General features: G+C 40.8%; 1 protein-coding gene across 5 annotated transcripts in view; it reads right to left on the minus strand.

Moving 5' to 3' along the window:
• USF3 (upstream transcription factor family member 3) overlaps nt 1,113–21,280 on the minus strand; it is a 48,258-nt gene continuing 28,090 nt past the window's right edge. For 4 of the 5 annotated variants that reach the window (XM_017005872.2, XM_017005871.2, XM_005247208.5 and 1 more), the window contains 2 exons: nt 17,041–17,137; nt 1,113–14,153 (listed from right to left, as the gene is read on the minus strand). In XM_017005872.2, coding sequence (XP_016861361.1) covers nt 7,672–14,153; nt 17,041–17,137 — 6,579 coding nt within the window. In that variant the 3' untranslated portion in view covers nt 1,113–7,671. The remainder of the gene's footprint in view (nt 14,154–17,040; nt 17,138–21,280) is intronic. The other variant, NR_111981.2, reaches the window with a different exon arrangement.

The raw sequence follows: 21,280 nt of genomic DNA on the forward strand, positions 1-21,280 counted from the left end.
GGAAAATATTGTGAGCTTTAATTTCCTGGAGTATATGTGAGAATAAGTGGTGTCTAAGGTCCTCATTTTACCTTTTATTTTTATTTATTTGTTTTGAGACAGAGTCTTGCTCTGTCGCCCAGGCTGGAGTGCAGTGGTACAATCTTGGCTCACTGCAACTTCTGCCTCCCAAGTTCAAGCAATTCTCCTGCCTCAGTCTCCCCAGTAGCTGGGATTACAGGCATATGCCACCACACCCAATTGTATTGTAAAAATACAATAATTTTTGTATTTTTAGTAGAGATGGGGTTTCACCATGTTGGACAGGCTGATCTCGAACCCCTGACCTCAAGTGACCCACCCGCCTTAGCCTCCCGAAGTGCTGGGATTACAGGTGTGAGCTACCGTGCCTGGCCATTTTACCTTTTAAAACATTAGGATATATTTTAGACATTCATAGAACAAAGACTTCAGGCATAAATGAGATCAACATCTGAGCATCTGCTACCCAGTGCAATAGAATATAACAATACTTTTGAAGTACTCCTCCCTCCTTGATATCATCCCTTTATCCTTTTCTAAGAAGTAGCCATTATCCTGAATTTTGAGTTTATCATTTCCTTATCATTTTTACCACACCTGTAGGCTAGCCCAAACAATAAATTGTCTGATGTATGGGCATTTAAACTTTACATCACTTTATACTGTACAAGTTCCCGTGCAATTGTTTTGTCTCCAGGCTTCATGCTTGTGAGTTTTGCTAAGTGATGTGGGCAGCTATCGGGAAAGACCTAACTTGTCTCAAAGTTCTGTGCTTCAGTTTCCTCCACTATAAAATCAGCAGAGTTTAAAGTGGATCATCTTGAAATACTCTTCCAGATCTGAAATTCTAATTTTACTTTTTATGAGTATAGAGGTATACAGTTTGTTCTAACAAGATAGTTCTGGTCATAATTATGATTTGAGGTCTGCTGGTTGATCAGGAACACAATCCCTATAGCAAATATGTCATGGCATTATTTTCAGATGTTATAGCAAAATTTAAAGATTACTTGAATAGAATACTTCAGTGCAAGACAAGCCACTTTAATGCAGGTTTGAAGTGGCACATGCAATGATCAGGGAAGACAGAATTTACAATGCAAAAATGCAAAGTTTATTTTCTTAAATAAAATACTATATTCATATCTATACAAATAATTATTACAACCATTAAAATGTTACATTTAACAATAAAAATTTCCAAACTTTAAACAAGAGGATGGTTCAGAATATTCACACCCTAATACAATGCATTTGTAAAAAGATGTCAAAATAAACAGGACCTATTCTTATTTACAACTGTAGGACAATCCTGATCATATTATACATATCTGCTCTGGATTCCATTACAAAACAAATTAGTTTCCATAAGAATTATAAACCAGGAGATTTACAGTAATAGGACACAGTGTGCAGCAGACACTGCTGCCATGGTAATAGATACAAATATTACACTATTGAAAGCACTAAAATTAGTTTTTTTTGGGTGACTGCCCTACAGTAAGCTTCTCACCCAGTGTATCTATAAATAATTTGTGAAGGTAATTATGTTCTCCTCAGATTTTTCAACTTTTTTTTACCAAAGTGAAAATATATATATATATGTATATATATTTATATAGCCTGCTGAAAGTGGAAGCGAATCTTTTCTTCACAGTAACACAACTGCAGCATCTTAACACTATCTGGTCCCTTTCTTCTTGGAAGATCAATAGTTCAACTCCCCTTAACTGTTACCACTATAGTCAAGCCCAGTACCTCAGTGACTTCACAGATGAAAAATGATTTGAAGACTTCAGGGGTGGGAGCACAGAGAAGTCTTAGAAAAGTGAAGGGATTTAGATACATCTAACTTTAAGTTCCTATGACATAGTACGGTGTTAGTATGGTGTATAGCTGTATACACAACTGAGGGAAAGAAATTAAAGATCATCTTTTCTAAAAATGTGTTAAATTACAAATAAACAGTTATCTTCTGTCTTATGAAATCTCTAATGACAGGATTATGCAGTCATCCAAAATTCCCCAATTTGTATATTATGTCCAATGTTTACAACCCAAGTTGGCTCACGTTTATGAAGCATCTGACCACATACGCGTGCCAGAAAAAGATTACAGTTGGTACAGTTTGTGTAAATCTAGAAATAAGGATGTTGAATGACCACCACATACAAGCTCTGAGTTTAACAGGAGTTTTGCTACTAGGTTTTTTTTTTGTTTTTTGTTTTTTTTTACAAATCAACATCAAAGATGGCTCAGAGAATGGTAAGGCAACAGTGAGAAACATCAGCTGTACTTGTCGAGAAGGTGTCTGATTACACAGCGTGTACCATCCCAGCTGGCCCTTTGCTATAACAGAGGAGTGGGTGAGTGATATGTTCCAACAGCTGGTCTAAAGACCAGAGGCACAGTTTCAGGTAAAGTGCAGGAACAGGGTAGAGGCTACAGGTGGAAAGATCTAGAAGCTCTGTGTCCAACAAGGTCCTCACGCTTCTTATCAGCATGGACTGACTCAATCTAAATTTGGTGTCCCCCCTCCACAGGTTCTAGTAGAAACCTACGCATGAAGAATAGAATGCAGACAGAATATAGTTAAATCCAAAAAAGGCCCTTTTCTTTCAAACCCTGGGGAAAGAAAAATGGTAATGTTCAGCCAAAAAGGCATCTTGAGAAGAAACTAACTTCTGCCTTTAATTTGCATATAAGTATCATAAAATCATCACTCACAGATTAACTTCACTAGTTTGTCTGGTTGTTGGCTATTACTGTTGCCCTCTGGATGTACACAGCCACAGGCGCACTACCTCCAGGCAAAGGTAGCATTTATATAGACAACAAAATTACAAAAATGGCTTCCAGGCTCCTAAAGATATCACTCCAAAGCTGTTTCATTTTGGTATCACCTTTGCCCTTTCATTCTTCACAGGAAAAAACAAGGCCAACCAAACCAAGGGACAGAGCTATATGGCACACTGAAATATTTTAAATCAATTCTGAACTAATTTTGTTTCAAGAAATTATTGTTGCTTTTTAAGAGAATACAAGGCATACTGGTTCCCAAAGCCAAGACTTGGGAATCACTGATTTGGGAGTATGACTCACTACCACACACTGATCCATACATGGTGGGCCCAATAAATGTTTCAAGGCAAAGGAGTAATCATCTCGCTAAGGAAATGACTGGCTTCCCTGAGCCCTATTTGACATGGAGCAGATGGAAGAGCATAAGTGCCTACCTATCAAAGGGAAGATAAAGCTAAGAAGATGCATATTCATAAGATTTTACCCTTTCTCAAAATTTTTTAATTTTACTCCCATTAAAATGTGCTTCCACATTTTTTGGAGTATAAGTTTTAGCCTCTCCATGAAATGGCTAATGTTAGAAGGCAAGAGCAAGGCAAATAAATTATCTTTAAAATACTTAAATCATTTTGTATTTTAAGAAGGCTAATTTTTAAAAGTTGATCTTTGTTGCAGTTCAGTATAACCCTGATATGTGACTGGAAAATGCTGCAAAAAAATAACCCCCTCCTTTCTCTTTCCCCAGTTCTGATATGTTAAATTTTACGAAGCAAGACCATTGAGGAATTCCTACACCTTACCTAGAAAAAAGGTGCCATCTCTGGTACCGCAAAAGGTCTTACAATAAAAACAAAAATAAATTTCCTGAACCGGTATAAAACAACATATAAGCCATCCCAGAGCAACTTGTGTTTTCCAAAAAAAAGAAAGAAAGAAACAACATCAAACTAGATTCCTTTCATCTATGATTGACACATTAAATGTTTACGCATGAAGAGAATCTGGAATTTTACCCTTCATTAGAAGTTATTGTTAAATGTTGAAAGGAATCAACCACTTTTTATAACGGACTCTGTGATCAATAATGCTAAAAAAGAGACAGAGAAATGATTTAATCAATGACTGTCACTCATGACTCAGACATAACTTCGTGTATTTCCAGAAGTTAAAAAATTTAAATCAATTCTGAACTAATTTTGTTTCAAGAAATTCTTGTTGCTCTTTAAGAGAATACGAGGCATACTGGTTCCCAAAGCCAAGACTTGGGAATCACTGATTTGGGAGTATGACTTACCACCACATGCTGATCCATACATGGTGGGCCCAATAAATGTTTCAAGGCAAAGGAGTAATCATCCCGCTAAGGAAAAGACCAGCTTCCCTGAGCCCTATTTCACATGGAGCAGGCCAAGAATAAGGTTACGTTTATTATAACCAAAATTGACTATGTTTTCTGCCATCCCTTTACCAAAAATTATATCCAAATTAACACTACATACCATATAACAAATTTCTTCCCAAAAATCACGTAGCTCTATCAAATACTTAATACTGCTAGTAAATCTCATATATTCATGCTTTTAAATCAAATAAGGGTACTATGGTCTGAACACTTTCAGAATTAAGCCATGTATGAACTGAAGTCTTACATACACATGCATACATCTGTAAAGTAATGAGAGCTACACGTAAGCAGGAGCCAATTATTCACAGATGGTCACATTTTTCCTCAGATGGTCAAATAAGGCTTATTGAGACTCTTTCAAGATCAAAATGTTAGACTGTTGGAATGAAAGCTCCAAGAAATGCAAATACTATGTCTGAACACAGCTAAGCAGGAAAATACAATTAATGCAACAGAAATACTTGAAAGTCACAGGCTTTGAGGACTTTACATTGCAATGTTCAAACTGAGCTTCTCCTTAGCCTGTTACCTTACTTTCAATTATGTCTAGCAGTCCCCAGTCCTTCAGAACTTAACAGCCACTGGAGAGAGAGAGAGAGAGAGAGAGAGTGTGTGTGTGTGTGTGTGTGTGTGTGTGTGTATATGTGTATGAGAGACAGAGACAGAGGCAGTGAGAGACAGACAGATGAGAGAGGGAGAGAGGGAAATGAATAGCCAAACACATGGAAAACTGTCCTTCTTGAAATTGGCACACTGGACCTTTCAAGTACAAAGAAAAATTTGAACGTTGCAGCTTAAAATTCAGTTAAGAGAATTAAAAAGCAAGTCATAAATGCCACATTTTTCCTCAATAAAAAGTTTTGACTACTGTGTTTATCTGTTGTCTTGAGTAACTTATTCATGAAGCTCTCCTATTCTTCCCCAAGACCATTTTGAAGAAAGAAAATACAGGTTGTTCTTGCTTTGTAAGCAAGAAAAAAAAAAATATTGTATATTTTTTTGTCCCTAGGAAGCTGCTTAGTTGGCAGCAGAAAAGAGACAGGACAGTTTGGTAAGAACAGTTAAAGAGGCACAAATGACCCTTTTGCTGAGTCTTTAGAAGAGGTATTCACTGGAGTTAACTGCTCTGACCAACCCTTAGGAAGCTTTTTAGGATTAAAAAAAAAGGGGGGGGCCTGGGAGGGGTGACTCATGCCTGTAATTCCAGTACTTTGGGAGGCCGAGGTGGGTGGATCACCTGACATCAGGAGTTCAAGACCAGCCTGGCCAAGATGGTGAAACCCCGTCTCTACTAAAAATATAAAAATTAGCCAGGTGTAGTGGCACAGACCTGTAATCTCAGCTACTCGGGAGGCTGAGGCTCAAGAATTTGCTTGAACCCAGGAGGCAGAGGCTGCAGTGAGCCAAGATCCTGCCATTGTAGACTCCAGCCTGGGTGACAAAGTGACCTTGAATATCTCCTGAGGAAGAGGAACTTGAAAAAGGAATATTCAAGGTGCTGTTCCTGGTGTTAGTTGCACCTAACGACACTCCAGCCTGGGTGACAGAGTCTCAAAAAAAAAAGAAAAGAAGAAAGAAAAGAAAAGCTGGTCCTTGAGTTCACTTTGTTAACAAGGCAGATAAAACAATTTCTATGCATCTCTCCCACCCCATCCCATTTTTGGCAGAATATAACAAGAACAAAAAGTAATGGACTTCACAGGTTTAAGAAAAGGAATATATGCCATTGTTTTCTTAGTTTTTTTTTTAAGTTTTCAAATTTTAATATGGGTTTTTAAACGTATTATAAACTTCTGTGGGGCTTTTAAAAACCTGTACCTAGGCCAAGCACGGTGGCTCATGCCTGTAATCCTGGCACTTTGGGAGGCCGAGGCAGGTGGATCACGAGGTCAGGAGATCAAGACCATCCTGGCTAACACGGTGAAACCCCGTCTCTACTAAAAGTACCAAAAATTAGCCAGGTGTGGTGGCACGTGCCTGTAGTCCCAGCTACACAGGAGGCTGAGGCAGGAGAATCACTTGAACCCGGGAGGTGGAGCTTGCAGTGAGCTGAGATCACGCCACTGCACTCCAGCCTGGGCAACAGAGCCAGACTCCATCTATTAAAAAAAAAAAAAAAAAAAAAACCCTACCTATATCAAGTTCTTCTATGCTTTAGCAGGTCTCAGGTCTCAATTTCCCATTTTCAGATGGCAGGCCTGTTTTTAAAGGACCAATTCATACTTTAAAATATGTGTACACACACACACACATACTTACACACACAGAGACATACAGAAAGACTATATATTTTTTGAAGCACCATTTCACATCTACCAACAAGAAAAATAACAAATTCATATTCTCATTATAATTCTGTTATGAAGGATAATAATGAAATATACAATGCCATATTTAAAATATAAATGCTATCAGTAAATGAAAATACTGACAGAGCTTAAATCTCTGTTCAGAAATATTTTTAAAGTAAGGCTCAAATAAACGTGTAGATTACAAACACTATTTCCTGATCAATCCTAATATTTAAATGAATGCAAAAGAATTTATTTCAAGACCAAATAAATAGAATGAAGAGAGAATACTAAATTAAACTCAGCTGATGAAACATCCATTGTTAACTGCACCCATGCAAAACTCCACAATACAACTAACTGCTTTTACCCTTATGACCCGATGCAAAATGCAAGCACAAAACGGAGAATATGTATGTACTTAACTTTTTAGCTTTCTATATTTACGGCTAAATAATTGTCTAAGGAAGACCTTTGCTTTAAATAATCTTGGCACATTAAAGGGTAACACAGCTCCCTAATTTGAAGAACAAGACATAAAATTCAGATAATTTATGCATTGTTATAATTTAGAAAGAAGCCTGTATCTAAACCAAACTTTGAGAATAAAGGCTGATTGCTTTTATTTATTTGCTAACTGCTTGACTTTAACTACGGACATTAAACTCAACATCAGTTCAACATCTGTCATAGGTAAGAAGCTGTTCTAGATGCTGACATTAGCCAGCACTTGATTATGAGCCACTGTGTTTTATCAAGCTGCCTATATTTTTCAGTAGCAACTTACCTACATATTCCATAAGTTATCAACAATCAAGTTTAAAGTCTAGGCTCCCTCCTACTACCCAGTACATGACAAGATGATCTCCCCCAATTTCCAGCTAATTAGTATTTAGGAAATATCAACTTGGAAATGTAAATCTACTTGGAAAATAAAAAAGTACACCATGCAGTTGAAAACGAAAGATAACTTGTTTTCTGACAACCCAGTATCTGCATCTGACATGGCTTCCCTACATTCAGAAGATAACTGAAAACTGATTATACAGACACACACACACAATCCTTCTCTTCATGTACATGTCTGTGCACATGCACGCACAAATACATTTGTAATCTCACTCATTACCTTTACATTTTGTTTATCAGTATTTAAACAGCTGAACTGCAATCATGACCTAGAATATGGCTTATGTTATGGGCAGGTCTGTTTGAGGACTGCTTGGAAGAGTCAGAGGCAGAGGAATTTGCTATTGTAAGCAAAGGTGACATTGCTGAGCCATCAGGAAGCGCTGTGGCTATTTCTGGAAACAAAGATGTCATATTAAAATTGGATAAGTGAGAGTTGGTCATGTGCATTGGTGGCATATCTGGGAGAAGAGGAAAACTTGGTTGAGCAAACCCAACAGGTCTGGGAGGAGATAAAATTGATCCAAATCGGTTATTTAAACTTCCACTGTTTACCTTCTCTGTGCTAGGATTTGAGAACATCTGATTAGGAAAATAGGGGATTGAAATATCATTGGACAGTGTAGGATGAGCAGGAGAGTATGGAGGATAGAAGGAGGGCAGAGTATTTTGCGGATCTACCGGGATGAGGGCTGGAGTTCGAGTGGCACTAGGCTGAGTAACCTGTGGAATGAAAGAAGCATTAGCATTTATTGGTGGATTCATGCCACCCTCAGGAATAAAAGAAAAACCAAAATTTTGTGATAGTGTATGCTGGTCAGGACCTGAATTATCATTAGGTACTTGTGGGCTATCAGGCATGAAACGAACAATACTTCCTCTCTTCTCTGTGGCAGGTTGTTGACGTCCAAGAATCATACTGCCACCAGTAGAGAGAGGAAGATGGGGAAGACTTGGATCAAAGACAGTACTTTGCCTTTGGTTTCCAGAACGATTCCTTTCAGGCTGACGAATTTTGGAACCACTGCTGTCTTGCAGGGGATGCCTTGATCTCTGGGGAACTGAAGAATTAGCTTGACGTACAGCAGGGCCTTGATCGCCATTTCCATGAGACACAGATGGATGTGGCAACGCTGGCCTTGCAACCCCATGCATGTTGGTTGTGACTGGAGGGTTCATGTGGCCCTTGGTGGCATGACTCTCAGTAATCCTCATGGGATTGGATTTCTGTACAGAAACATTGGGGCTTGTGTTTCGACCTTGAATATCTCCTGAGGAAGAGGAACTTGAAAAAGGAATATTCAAGGTGCTGTTCCTGGTGTTAATTGCACCTAACGACATGTCACAACTTTCCCTATTCTGACTCTCACTCTCTCTTCTAATATGGACATTTTCATGAGTTGGGGGACAATTATATTCAATTGCAGAGGATGGACCACACTGTGTATTCCTCTGATGTTCTGAGAGTGACCTCTGGCTCCCAATGACCTGATCACTGAGGTGAGGGGCAAGTAAGCTCTGCATGAAACTTTGGTGACAAGTATTTTCACTGTCCCTTGATGGAATACCATTTCCTGTTGGGATGCTCTGAACTGGTGGGTAAGATAATCTCTTTTGACGGTCAATTGGTGGGGGGCCAGTGTTTTGACTAATTCGAAAAGCCTGGGACTGCATACTCCGCAATGATGATACAGGGTTACCTATTTCATTGTTTCTTGAAGATTGTACTTCAAAATTACTCTGGGGCTGTTGACTAGCTCCACTTGGTTTAAACGTCTGACAATCAGAAAGGCGGATATCTGAGGCCACAGTATGGTCCACACGACCCTGCATATTATGAATAGCCAAACTCTTATTTCTGGGAACATCAAGATAGCTTCTCATTTCAAGCTGATCTGAAACTCTGGAACCCTGAATTGATATCCCCATTCTCTGCTCTGAATTAGAAGATGTCTTTCCAATGAGTGCCTCAGCAGAATAACTTGAAACTCTATTTCTCTCTGGCCTGTGTGGAGTACAGGTCATGTCTGAAGATCTAGTCACAATACTTGGTTGGGACACCATTTGCTGCTCTAAGCCTCTTGATGTCAAAAGCCTCTGCATTGGATTATGGCCAGATACATGTTCAGATGAAACCCCTGAACCTTGCTGTCTGCTTCCAACATCCTGCTGTTGGTGCATAATATCTTGATTGAGATGGTTCTGGGGATGGTTATGATGGTTCCGACTAGTTGAAGGGTTTTCACAGCTCTTCTCTGTCTGGGAGCTTCCAAAGTGTTGCTGCATTTGTTGCTGCATCTGCTGATGGTGGGGATGTGGCTGGCCAGTCTTGGATCGGGATTGGTCAGTTCCATGGTGCTTTGGTTGTAAGGAAAGCTGAGAGGTCTGGGTGCCCTGAACAAGATTCCTCTTTTTCTGCATCTGAACTTCCTGTTGCAGAGTCCTCTGTTGGTGGACATTATGGGGCTGAGAGTGGACAGAGCTCTCTGCATGAGGTACATGATGCTGCATTTGATATAAGTGATGCCTCTCTCTTAACTGCCCTGCTTGTTGTTGTTGCTGTTGCTGCTGCTGCTGCTGCTGCTGCTGCTGCTGCTGCTTTATGTAGAGATGGTTACTATGAAGGTGAGATACACCTTGAGCTGGAACATGCTGCTGCAGGGCCTGTAGATGCTGACTTGCCTGGGTTTGCTGCTGTTCAGCAACTGAAGGCTGAGAACCACACTGAACTTCAGTTTGCCTCAATGCAGGAGTCACAAAGTTGTTACTAGGTGGAAATAATCGTGTAAGGCCATCTCCATGAGCTGGGTTGCTAACAGGCACAACTGAGTTTGAAGAATTAGGAGGGATCTGACTGACCATCATTTGAGTTTGGTCAGAAATGGTGTCTGGAGTTCTGCTCATCAGGGACATACTTTCAAGCCTGAGGGGGGCTGGCTGACAGTGCTTTTGACGTTTAGCTGAAGACAGTAAAAGGTCATCTTGGACAGCACGCTTAGCAGAATCCTTACGGCTTTCATGGCTTGGCTTTAAGAGTGGCTCTTGAATCTGTGAATTTGGTATGGTACTAGTCATAGTATTTAGCTGTTCTTGGGAATATTCAGTCATCAGAGATGGTCCAGGAGGTTGACTGCCATAGGAGCTAGATGAAACGGTCAGATTAACCGTTGCAGGCACAGTTGTTTGCTCTGAAGTTGGGGATAAACCCGCACAGCTGGCCAGAGGATGGCTGATGCTGCTCTGATGGATAAGATTATTCACACTTAAACTGGTGATGCTTGGTGGCTGAGAAGTTGAATCCTGTAAAGATGCATTTGATGTTTTAATTCCTAGAGAACAACTTGGTTTCTCAAGGGGCCTCTCCATAGTTGCTTCAATTGAACCCTGAGAATTAAATTCATTTGGTGTTGCTTCTGCCTGTCCTGTGCCACTCTCTTTAGGTATCTGTGATTTGAAGGGTGGGTCTCCCTCTAACAATGATGCTTCAGAAGGCTTTGAAGCAACTTCCCTTATATCAGCCTGGAGGCCAACTCTCCCCTTCTCAAGGTTCTCCTGGTCAAAAATAGCTCTTGCTGCAAGAGCTACTATATCAGTTTGCTCTACAAAGGTACAGCTGTCACATGTATTAGTTGTTGCATTGCTGGTCACATCTTCTCTTGTTGTTTCAGGAAGCATGGATGCAACTGAGAAACTACGACTACTGCCAGAGCTGGTTGACATGGGAGAGTCGGCCTGTCTACCGTTGATCAAAGAACCATTAATAACCTCTTGATCAGGGAGGCAGGAATGATGCTGTGGAGGATCTCTATCATCATTGTTCATCAGTAATAGTTCCTGTTTGGGATGTAAATTCACACTTGAATCAACTATTTTAGGATTTTCTGAAGAAAAGTCAGGATGATCCATCTGATCAGAAAGAGATGATTTCTGAGGGTTTTTTTTTTTAGCAAGATCAGATAGCAATGTAGTTAAACCTTGCCCCTTTAAGAGACCTGTGGTTTGCATTGTATCTGATGAATCTTGCTCAACTCTGCAAGGTTCAGCAATGATTTCTACCTCAGAAACACAGTCAGTACTTGTAGTGCTTGTTGTAGATGACAAACCAGGAACCTGAGAAACCAAAATGTGAGGATCACTTGGAGATGGAATCAATACATTGGCTGAAGCGCAGGGTTTGGCAGCATCTGATAATGCTAAACTACTTGGTGGTTTATCCTGAGATGTCTCTTGTTGTAGATTAGGGGTAGAATCTTTGGATTTTGCTGCGGCCATTGCAAAATGTTCACTTGTTACAGATTCTTGGGAGGGTGGGCTGGACTTTTCTGCTGACTTAGATTTCGATACAGACTCAGGTATTAATGATTCAGAGCTTAGAACACCCAAAGAATGTGAAGCAGAAACACTCACACTATTTGCCTGAGACACAGAGACAGATGGTAACACAGCAGGGAAGCTTTCTAGCAGTCCATCATTACAGGGTGGCTCTGCTGAGCCTTCAGTGTTGGGGCAGTCTAACTTGCTCACATCTCTGACTGAATTCAGGGGACACGCTGACTTGTTTGCTGCTAAGTGTTTCCTGCCACCTGGCTTCTTATTCAACCTTTTAGATTTCATGTTAGGCAAACAAGCAACAGTGTTCATTGAGGAAGTACTCACTAGATTATAAGTACTAGCTAGTGTGGCTGAACTATCTGTTGTCACAGGAGGTGCTGCAGTTGTTGTTAATGAAACACAGTTAGCTGTAGTGGTTTGACTATTTGCAGCAGTTTGAGAATTGGCAGGCTGGCTAATAGACAATTGTACACAGCTTTGCCCAGCCATCTGTGATATGCTTTGATTGAGGCTGGCCAAAGCACCAAATGTATTCAGGGCAACATTGGTATTTGGATCTTCGCTGGTGGTGGGTTGAATAATTTGCATAGGGGTTTGATTTGTAGTTCCTGATGAAGACATCACAGGCTGCAAAGCAAAGAGCTGTCCATTTAAAGAAATGGTTTGAGGCTGTTGGTTTGACATGGTAACAGAAAAAGTTTGTGTTGAGTTAGACGCTGATAAAGATGAAGGTCTTGGTAATATGTGGACAAGATGCTTTCCTCCAAAAGTCTGTGGTGTTGGAACATTTTGCACTGAATTATTAGACCCTATTACAGTATTGGCTCCATTGATGGGGAGTCGAACAGAACCAGGAGGTGGAGCAGGGAGGAGTGGCAAAGGATTCTGATTAGCAGCCTGTATGATTACTATCTGTTGACCTACTGTTTGGTTGGAAACTTCTGCCCTCATCACTGTTGGGCATGGGGTGGTGCTAGGTGGCTGAAGAATTATAACATTTTGATTAGTTGGAGCTGAATTAACAGCTGACCCAACTGGCTGAGCCATCTGAATCACTTGCATTGCTGAATTCAGTGGAAGGATATTTTTGGGAGGCTGAGATTTAACTTGTGGCTGGGCAATTAGTGGCTGCATAGGTAAAGATGGACAAGAAGGCAATGTTACAACTACTTGCTCAACTGGCTGCCCATCTGCTGGAAAGGAATTATTCAAGTTGATGTCTGTAGCCACATATCTACTGTGGTTGCTTGTGGTGGGGCTAGTACCAGACTCATTTAATACTGGAGTCACAGCAGAAGATGGTGTCTGGCTTAAGGGCTGAATAGTGTTTCCTGCCAGTTGCAAAGTAGTCCACGTTGTCTGTGTGTTTCCAGCTGAAGAGATTCGTGTAAGGCTATTAATGTTTTTCAAATCTGAAGTACTAACACTTGAAGAAGGCAAAGAACAAGAAAGAGTCCAACCATTGTCCAAAGGGTTTCCCGAAAGAGTGCTTATAGGAATGGTGGCCTTCCCTACTCCAGGGGCAGATGATGCCACCACTGTAGCTGTACTTGTCAAGTCTGCACTCTTACTAATGCTCATTGGAGAAGAATCACCTGCAGTTCTGGGAGGCTGCGAGCAGACTGTGGTGGTAACTGAAACAACAAAAGTGTTTTGAAAATCACCTCTGAAGTCCTGTATGCTCAGGCAGGACTTGTTTCCATGGTGCACTTTAGTGGCAGTTGCTGAGGAGCTGTGGGGGATGTTTGTAACACAAGGGGTCATTTTCTTCAATACTTTGGGGTTCTCTTGTCCATTCTTATTTTCAGAAGAATTTTGATCATTTAGGCATGTGTGCAAAGAATGATGTTGGTGAGGCTCAGATTCAATTGAAACAGCAATCAGTGAGCCACTAGTGGCACCAAGCACATTTGATTCGCTTTCAGAGGTGGGAAGCTCGAGAATACTCTGAGCAGAAATGGCAGCAGGAAGACAAAGAGGAACAGGCTGGTTGGTAGCCAATGCAGGAACTGTGGTCTGATGCCATGGCTTGTTTTCAGAAGGGTAAACTCCAGAAATAGATACAGGAGTCACAAGATTGCAAGTCCTCTGTACTGGCACCACATTGGCGGTCTGCTTTTGTAAATTATGACTAACATTAAAAGTTATCCCCTGAACAGCTGTTCCCTGGCTGTTTCCACCAGGCTGATTCCCGTTGGAATAAACAATAATTTTTTTTTGAACCTGGTCACTAGGAATAACAACAGAGACCTTTGAGTTTTTAAGATTTCCTTTCCAGTGAATTGTCGGGTCATCATATAAGCATATGTCATTAGCTTTCAGTAATTCAATATATCGGCCATTTTCTTTTTGGATTTCTTCCAGTTGTTTCCGTAGCTTTTTTATTTCTTCAGCTATAATATTAAAAACAAAAATTTATAAATACCTGAGAATGTCAGTATTTACAATAACTTGATAAAGAACTGTATACTAAACTACTGAATTCTAATTCTAGCATTCTAAGTACTTCAACCGAGACTCTTCAGCTCTTTTCTAATACAACTTCTTTTTTCTTTTTAGAATGATATCTTAAATCCCTATGCCCTCCTTTAAAAAGTATAAATTTTTAAAGGTCAACTGAAAAATTACTCATAATGTAGAAACCTCAAAATTCCCAATTCAAAAATTTCCAGTAGGGCAGCTACATAGGTGAAGTAAGGGAAGACATACTGATATCATGGCAACATGCTAGCAAGATAACATTGAATATCAATATGCCATTTAAATGCTGCAGCAGCCAACATTACCTGTGATAGTAACAGGCAGTCTCTTTATTTTTTATTTTATTCTTTTGAGACAGAGTCTTGCTCTGTGACCCAGGCCGGAGTGCAGTGGTGCAATCTCGGCTCACTGCAACCTCCACCTCCCAGGTTCAAGCAATTGTCCTGCCTCAGCCTCCCGAGTAGCTGAGATTACAGGTGCGCACCAACACTCCCAGCTAATTTTCATATTTTTAGTAGATTCAGGGTTTCGCCATGTTGGCCAGGCTGGTCTTGAACTCCTGACCTCAAGTGATCTGCCTGCCTTGGCCTCCCAAAGTGCTGGGATTACAGGCATGAGCCACCATGCCCAGCCGACAGTCTCTTTTATAAATCAATTTAGTTTCTATTTTATCCTTTGAAACAATTGAGACAAAAAGGAATAGAACACATAAGAAGCAAAGTGGCACCAAAGTGCACCAAAGAAAGCATCGACAATGGAACCTGCACTTTGCTTGGTAGGGACAATGCAGGTATGCTACTGAGCAGTGAGGGCATTGTCACAGCCCTCCTTTCTAAGGTAGATAGCTTCACCTATGAGTACCACTAATGGGGCAGGCTTAGCTGCTGGTATATGCTCTGTGACCCCACACATCCCCATCTGCCTTGAAACAGTGGAGAGTATTCTCATTCCTTTTCCAAAGCATCCTATTCTCCAGGCTAACACCCTGTGAGGGAGCCTGAAATGAAAAGTTCCATTCCAACAAAGACGAGCTGAAACTAGCAGATCATTTTTCTTAGTTTAAAACTAAGAGACAAAAGAAAGATACCAGTGTCCACGGACAGTAGAAATTAAAGAACAATCATTATGGACCAAATAATAATCATGGTTCTCACTTACTGCACCTTTACTACCTGGCACATTTCATTCCTTGTTTCATTTAATAACAACGACAACTATAACAGCTAACATTTATCAAGCAATTACTCTGTGCTAGGCTTTAATCTAAGTTCTTGTATTATCTCTTTTAATCCTCATAAGAACCATGAGATGGCAATTTATATTTTATTATCACCACTTTTAGATGTGAGAAACAGGCCCAGAGCAGTTATGTAATTTGCCTAAATTCAGCCAGGTAGATACTATGATTATCCTCATTTTAACATAGGGAAACTGGGACTGGGAGAGGCTAAGTAACTGACCAAAGGGTACTGAGTGAGTAAATGAAGCTGAGACTCAAACCTAGGAGGGCCTGAGTCCAAGGCCATTGCTTTGGCTACTAGATACATGCACAGTGAGCATATGGAAGAAGCCACTGAGAGAAAAAAAGAGGATAGAGCAGATGCACAGAAAAAGAACCAGAGAAATAACGATCATGACAGAAATAACAAACACAGATTTAGGCTGCCTTAGATCCCACCCCTAACCCCTGGCCTGTCTGGTCAGCTTTTTCTGAGTCCCACGCAACTTCTATTTTTCAACAATTTCCCTTTTTCCTAAGGTAACTTGATTGTCTCAGCCTCTGGCTTTGAAATCAAAAGAGCTTTCATTAGAAAAGTCTACTCATCATTCTGTCTTACATCCCTTCTGTGGAGTACCTCAAATGGTTACTAAACATGGATCATTTATCTATCTGACGGCATCACAAAAAGACCTGGGCCATAAACACCAGCTAAACTAGGTGAGGGGGGGAAGCTGCTAATATTTAACTAAAAGTAAACAAGGAGAATTCTGAATGCTGACCTCCTAGGTAGGCTTTCCAATATCTTTCCCATCCATTACAATAAACACAGCCCAGCACTGACCTTACCTCAGGCAATTCTGCCCTTTTTTCTCTCTTTTTAAGGTGGCCTACTGAGTTGTCACAGAAAATTCTCTCCTTGCACTTGTCAGGGGTATAAATAAAAGACAATTTCAAACTGGCCTACCCTGAGCTTTACGCTTGCCTGGAATATTTTTTTCCCGCTGCTATAAGAAAACTTTCTCTCCAATGCTAATGGAAAAAGAGAACTCATTTGATGGCATTAAAAAGTCACCTTTATCTAAGAATCAAGTATCATTAAATGATCAGGCAGTTTGATGCACACATTACAAGAAGTATAAACAAAATGAATGTTTTGGCCTTTTTTGCTAATGCATAGTTAAATCGTGGCACAGGCATATCCTAATCTTTTTAATAAATTTCACTGAGCAGAACTCCCCCCTTACATCTTCTTATGGGATTGCCCTAACTGCAATGTCCAATTGGAATAAAGGAGATTTAGCATTACTAGTATCATGAGTTAGGCAAACATGAAATACACAGAAGAGTTCAAAGTCAAAACTATGTATGCCTACAAGATAAGAGGTGCTCACAGAGGAGAAAGAGTTAGACTAAAATGAATTTATTGGTAACATTATTCTTCCAGACCCACTGAATGCAGGGTCTTAATAATGTTTTGGGGCCAAAAAGCTTTCTATGTCATAATATAAATTTCACTGTGACACAAACACCTAAACATTTTAAAATACAACAAAAAGTAAGAACTTTTAAATCTTTACCTTGTTCATTGTTTCCTCCATTAAGCAGGAGTTCATCATTTTGCCTTTTCAATTCTGTTATATATTTAAAGGCTTGGTCCAGGATCATATTCTTGCTCTGTCCAAGAAAATTTTAAAAGTTTACAAGTTTCACTGAAGGGTAAGAACTTGCCAGATGAAACTTTAAGCTTTGTCTTTATCACATATATATGATACGTATCTTCTCAAAATTTAAAACAGGCACTATATTCAAAAGCTTCTACTGTATATTTTTCATTTATTAAATGGTTATTGGGCAGCTAATGAGTGGCAGGCTCTGTTCTAGGCACTGGGGATATAATAGTAAAACAAACAAAGTCCCTGTCCTTGAAGAATACACACACACACACAGAGGAATGCTATGAAGAAATATAAAGCAGGGTAAAGAGGGAGCTAGAGTGATGGTGGAGGTTACTTTGTGCAAAGGACTGAATGTTTGTGCCCCCTAAAATTCATATGTCTAAACCCTTATCCCCAGTGTGATGGTTTTTGGGAGGTAATTAGGTCATGAAGGTGGAGCCCTCATGATGGGATTAGTGCCCTATAAGAAGAGACAGAGATGATCTCTCTCTCTGTCTGCCACTTGAGGACATAACTAGGAAGTGGGTTATCACCAGGAAGTGAATTGGCTGGCACTTGATCTTGGACTTCCCACCTTCCAGAACTGTGAGAAATTAAAGTTACCCAGTCTATGGCATTTTTGTTGCAGCAGCCTGAACTAAGACACTGAGAACATTTGTTGTATATGGAGGTTGGGGAAGGGCCCTGAATAAGGTGATACCTGAGCAAAAACTGGAAGGAAGTGAAAGGAAGCAGGCCCTGCAGATATATGGGAAAAGGGAGTCCAGACAGCAGGATCAGAAGGGCAGGGGCCCTTAGCCAAGCTAGGCTCGGCACGTTGGAGGAATGGTAAGGAGGTGAGCGGAGCTACAGTGGAGTACATGTGGGAAGAGTAGTAGAAGGCCAGAGAAGGCCTTCAAGATTTTGTAAAGGTTTTGGATTTTAATGTTATTCTTTACTCTGTTTACCACAACTACGAATTATTCTAAATAATAGGCCAAGAGAGGAATGTCACTTGATTGAGTTTTGGTGTCATGCTTCCAGTAAATTGTATTCCTAAGCTTTTTCAAAAAGATTGTACGTTATGTTAAAGTATTCCTTTATTCTCATGTCCAATACATGCCTATATACATCCTTTTTAAAAACTCAGACAAGGCCAGGCGCAGTGGCTCATGCCTATAATCCCAGCACTTTGGGAGGCCGAGGCGGGCAGACACTTGAGGTCAGGAATTTGAGACCAGCCTGGCCAAAATGGCAAAATCCCGTCTCTATCAAAATTACAAAAAAATTAGCCAGGCATGGTGGCGCACACCTGTAATGCCAGCTACTCAGTAGGCTGAGACAAGAGAACTGCTTGAACCTGGGAGGCAGAGATTGCTGTGAAGTGAGATCCTGCCACTGCACTCCAGCTTGGGCAACAGAGTGAGATTCTGTCTCAAAAGAAAAAACAAACAAACGAACATACAGACAAAAGGATTTTGTATTTCCTTACATTTAAAAATATATCTTGGCGGCCGGGTACGGTGGCTCATGCCTGTAATCCCAGCACTTTGGGAAGCCGAGGTGGGCAGATCACCTGAGGTCAGGAGTTCGAAACCAGCCTGACCAACATGGAGAAACCCCGTCTCTACTAAAAATACAAAATTAGCAGGGCGTGGTGGCACATGCCTGTAATCCCAGCTACTCGGGAGGCTGAGTCAGGAGAATCACTTGAACCCAGGAGGAGGAGGTTGTGGTGAGCCGAGATTGTGCCATTGCACTCCAGCCTGGGCAACAGTAGCAAAACTCCATCTCAAAAAAATAATAAATATATATATATATATTTGCGATACTTCCATATAGCATCTAGACATCTTTCTTTTTTTTTTTTTTTTTTTTTGAGACAGAGTCTTGCTCTGTGGCCGAGGCTGGAGTGCAGTGGCGCAATCTCGGCTCACTGCAACCTCTGCCTTTCGGGCTCAAGCAATTCTCCTGCCTCTGCCTCTCAAGTAGCTGAGACTACAAGCACATGCCATCATGCCTGGCTAATTTTTTTTTTTTTTGGTAGAGACGGGGTTTCACCATGTTGGCCAGGCTGGTCTCGAACTCCTGACCTCAGGTGATCCTCCCACCTTGGTCTCCCAAAGTGGTGGGATTACAGGTGTGAGCCACCATGCCTGGCCCCTACTTATTGTTTCCTTTTTTTTTTTTTTTTTTTTTGTAACAGACTCCTGCTCTGTCGCCCGGGCTGGAGTGTAGTGGCGCGATCTCAGCTCACTGCAACCTCCGCCTCCTGGGTTCATGCCATTCTCCTGCCTCAGCCTCCCGAGTAGCTACAGGCACCCGCCACCATGCCGGGCTAATTTGTTGTTGTTGTTGTTTTTTGTTTTTTGTTTTTTTAGTAGAGATGAGGTTTCACCATGTTAACCAGGATGGTCGTGATCTCCTGACCTCATTATCTGCCCGCCTCGGTCTCCCAAAGTGCTGGGATTACAGGTGTGAGCCACTGTGCCCGGACTACTTATTGTTGCTAATGACTGTATTTATTTTATTTACCAGTCTATTATTGATAAACATTTAAGATACCTTAACAGTCATTTCTGGTTTTTATCCTTCAGCTATCAAGAATGTTGCAATGAATATTTAACCTCTACTCCAGGATATATATTATTAGCTATCTCTGGTACTTTGTAGATAACTCTTTTCATGTAGGAATCACTGTGATTTAGTCCTTTGTTTGGCAATTTATAATTCTGAGTTCTTTACACTGAGTCCCAACAGAGACCCAATACGTAAACCCAGGAAGTTATTTACTACTAAGAGAAAAATAATATTGTTCTTTTTAAAAACAATAATCTGAACAAAGGCAGAACCTGATAATTCCCAGCCACCTGTCCCTCTACTGCAGACAGGGGCCAAAGCCTGTGAAGAAAATCTTAGTTGGCTCTGCTTCTGATAGCCAAATACTGACTTCCTTTGCACATTCTAGAACACCAAGGAAGTAAAATGGTTATGGTTTCCTTTCTTCAGAGAAACTCGCAGGGATGAAAGCCAAGAGCAGGAAAGTAAGATTTTCCTGGGCAAACATCTATGTTTACTGAGTAGCTACCTAGCTACCTTCCATTGAGATGTGGAGAAAGAAAAACAAATTAGAAGGCATAGTGTGTGCCATTGTGTTAAGGAAACAGAAAGCACAATTTTTAAAAAGGCTGAAAAATACATACATGGAGCCGGGCATTGTAATCCCAGCACTTTGGGAGGCCGAGGTGGGTGGATCACTTGAGGTCAGGAGTTTGAGACCAGCCTGGCCAACATGGTAAAACCCCATCTCTACTAAAAATACAAAAATTAGCCTGGCGTGGTGGCATGCACCTGTAATCCTAGCTACTCAGGAGGCTGAGGCAAGAGAATCACTTGAACCTGGGAGGCGGAGGTTGCAGTGAGCCGAGATCATGCCACTGCATTCCAGCCTAGGCAACAGAGTGAGACTGTCTCAAAACAAACAAACAAACAAACAAACAAACAAACAGAAACATATATGGAAGTCTAAGTCCATCCTATAGGGAAGAAAGGAAATGAAGAGTAAGTCCTTTCCAAGGGAGATAACATAGAGAAGCAAGCTGATTTGCTCCTTTGACATACTGGGAAGGCTCAACACTGAGAACCACCAGCCTCTACAGAAGATGGAGTGAGCTGGGGGTTAAAATAGAGGGGAAGTGGCTGAAAGACTCCTAATAAAGCAGTAATAAGAACCACCCCCTACCCTGCCCCCACGCACATATTCTACACAGCTGGATGACTTTCCCTTCCTGCCCAAACCGCAGGAGACAAGTTTATTTTCTCTGAAATTTGAACCAGAGAATTTCAACCTCAGGGATACTTGGCACAAAAGTGGACAAGACGAGGGTCCTAAGTGGAAACAGCGGGGTAGAGTAAAACTCTGCCTACTACAGCACAAGACTCTCTAGCCCCCTAACTCCCATCCAGCTCCCAGAATAATAGCAACCTCTTCCTCTTCCTACCAGTCCCACTCCCAGGCAGGAGACTGATGGGTTCTTCTCCAAGAAAATGAAAAAATTAATAGCTATCCCACAAAAAAAAAAAAAAGACAAATACTGATATGTTTTAGTTCCACAACAAGAACAATAAAACTAGCATAGCTTCTAATCATGCAACACTTAGG

Source organism: Homo sapiens, chromosome 3 (genome assembly GCF_000001405.40).
Source record: "Homo sapiens chromosome 3, GRCh38.p14 Primary Assembly".
Lineage (NCBI taxonomy): Eukaryota > Metazoa > Chordata > Mammalia > Primates > Hominidae > Homo > Homo sapiens.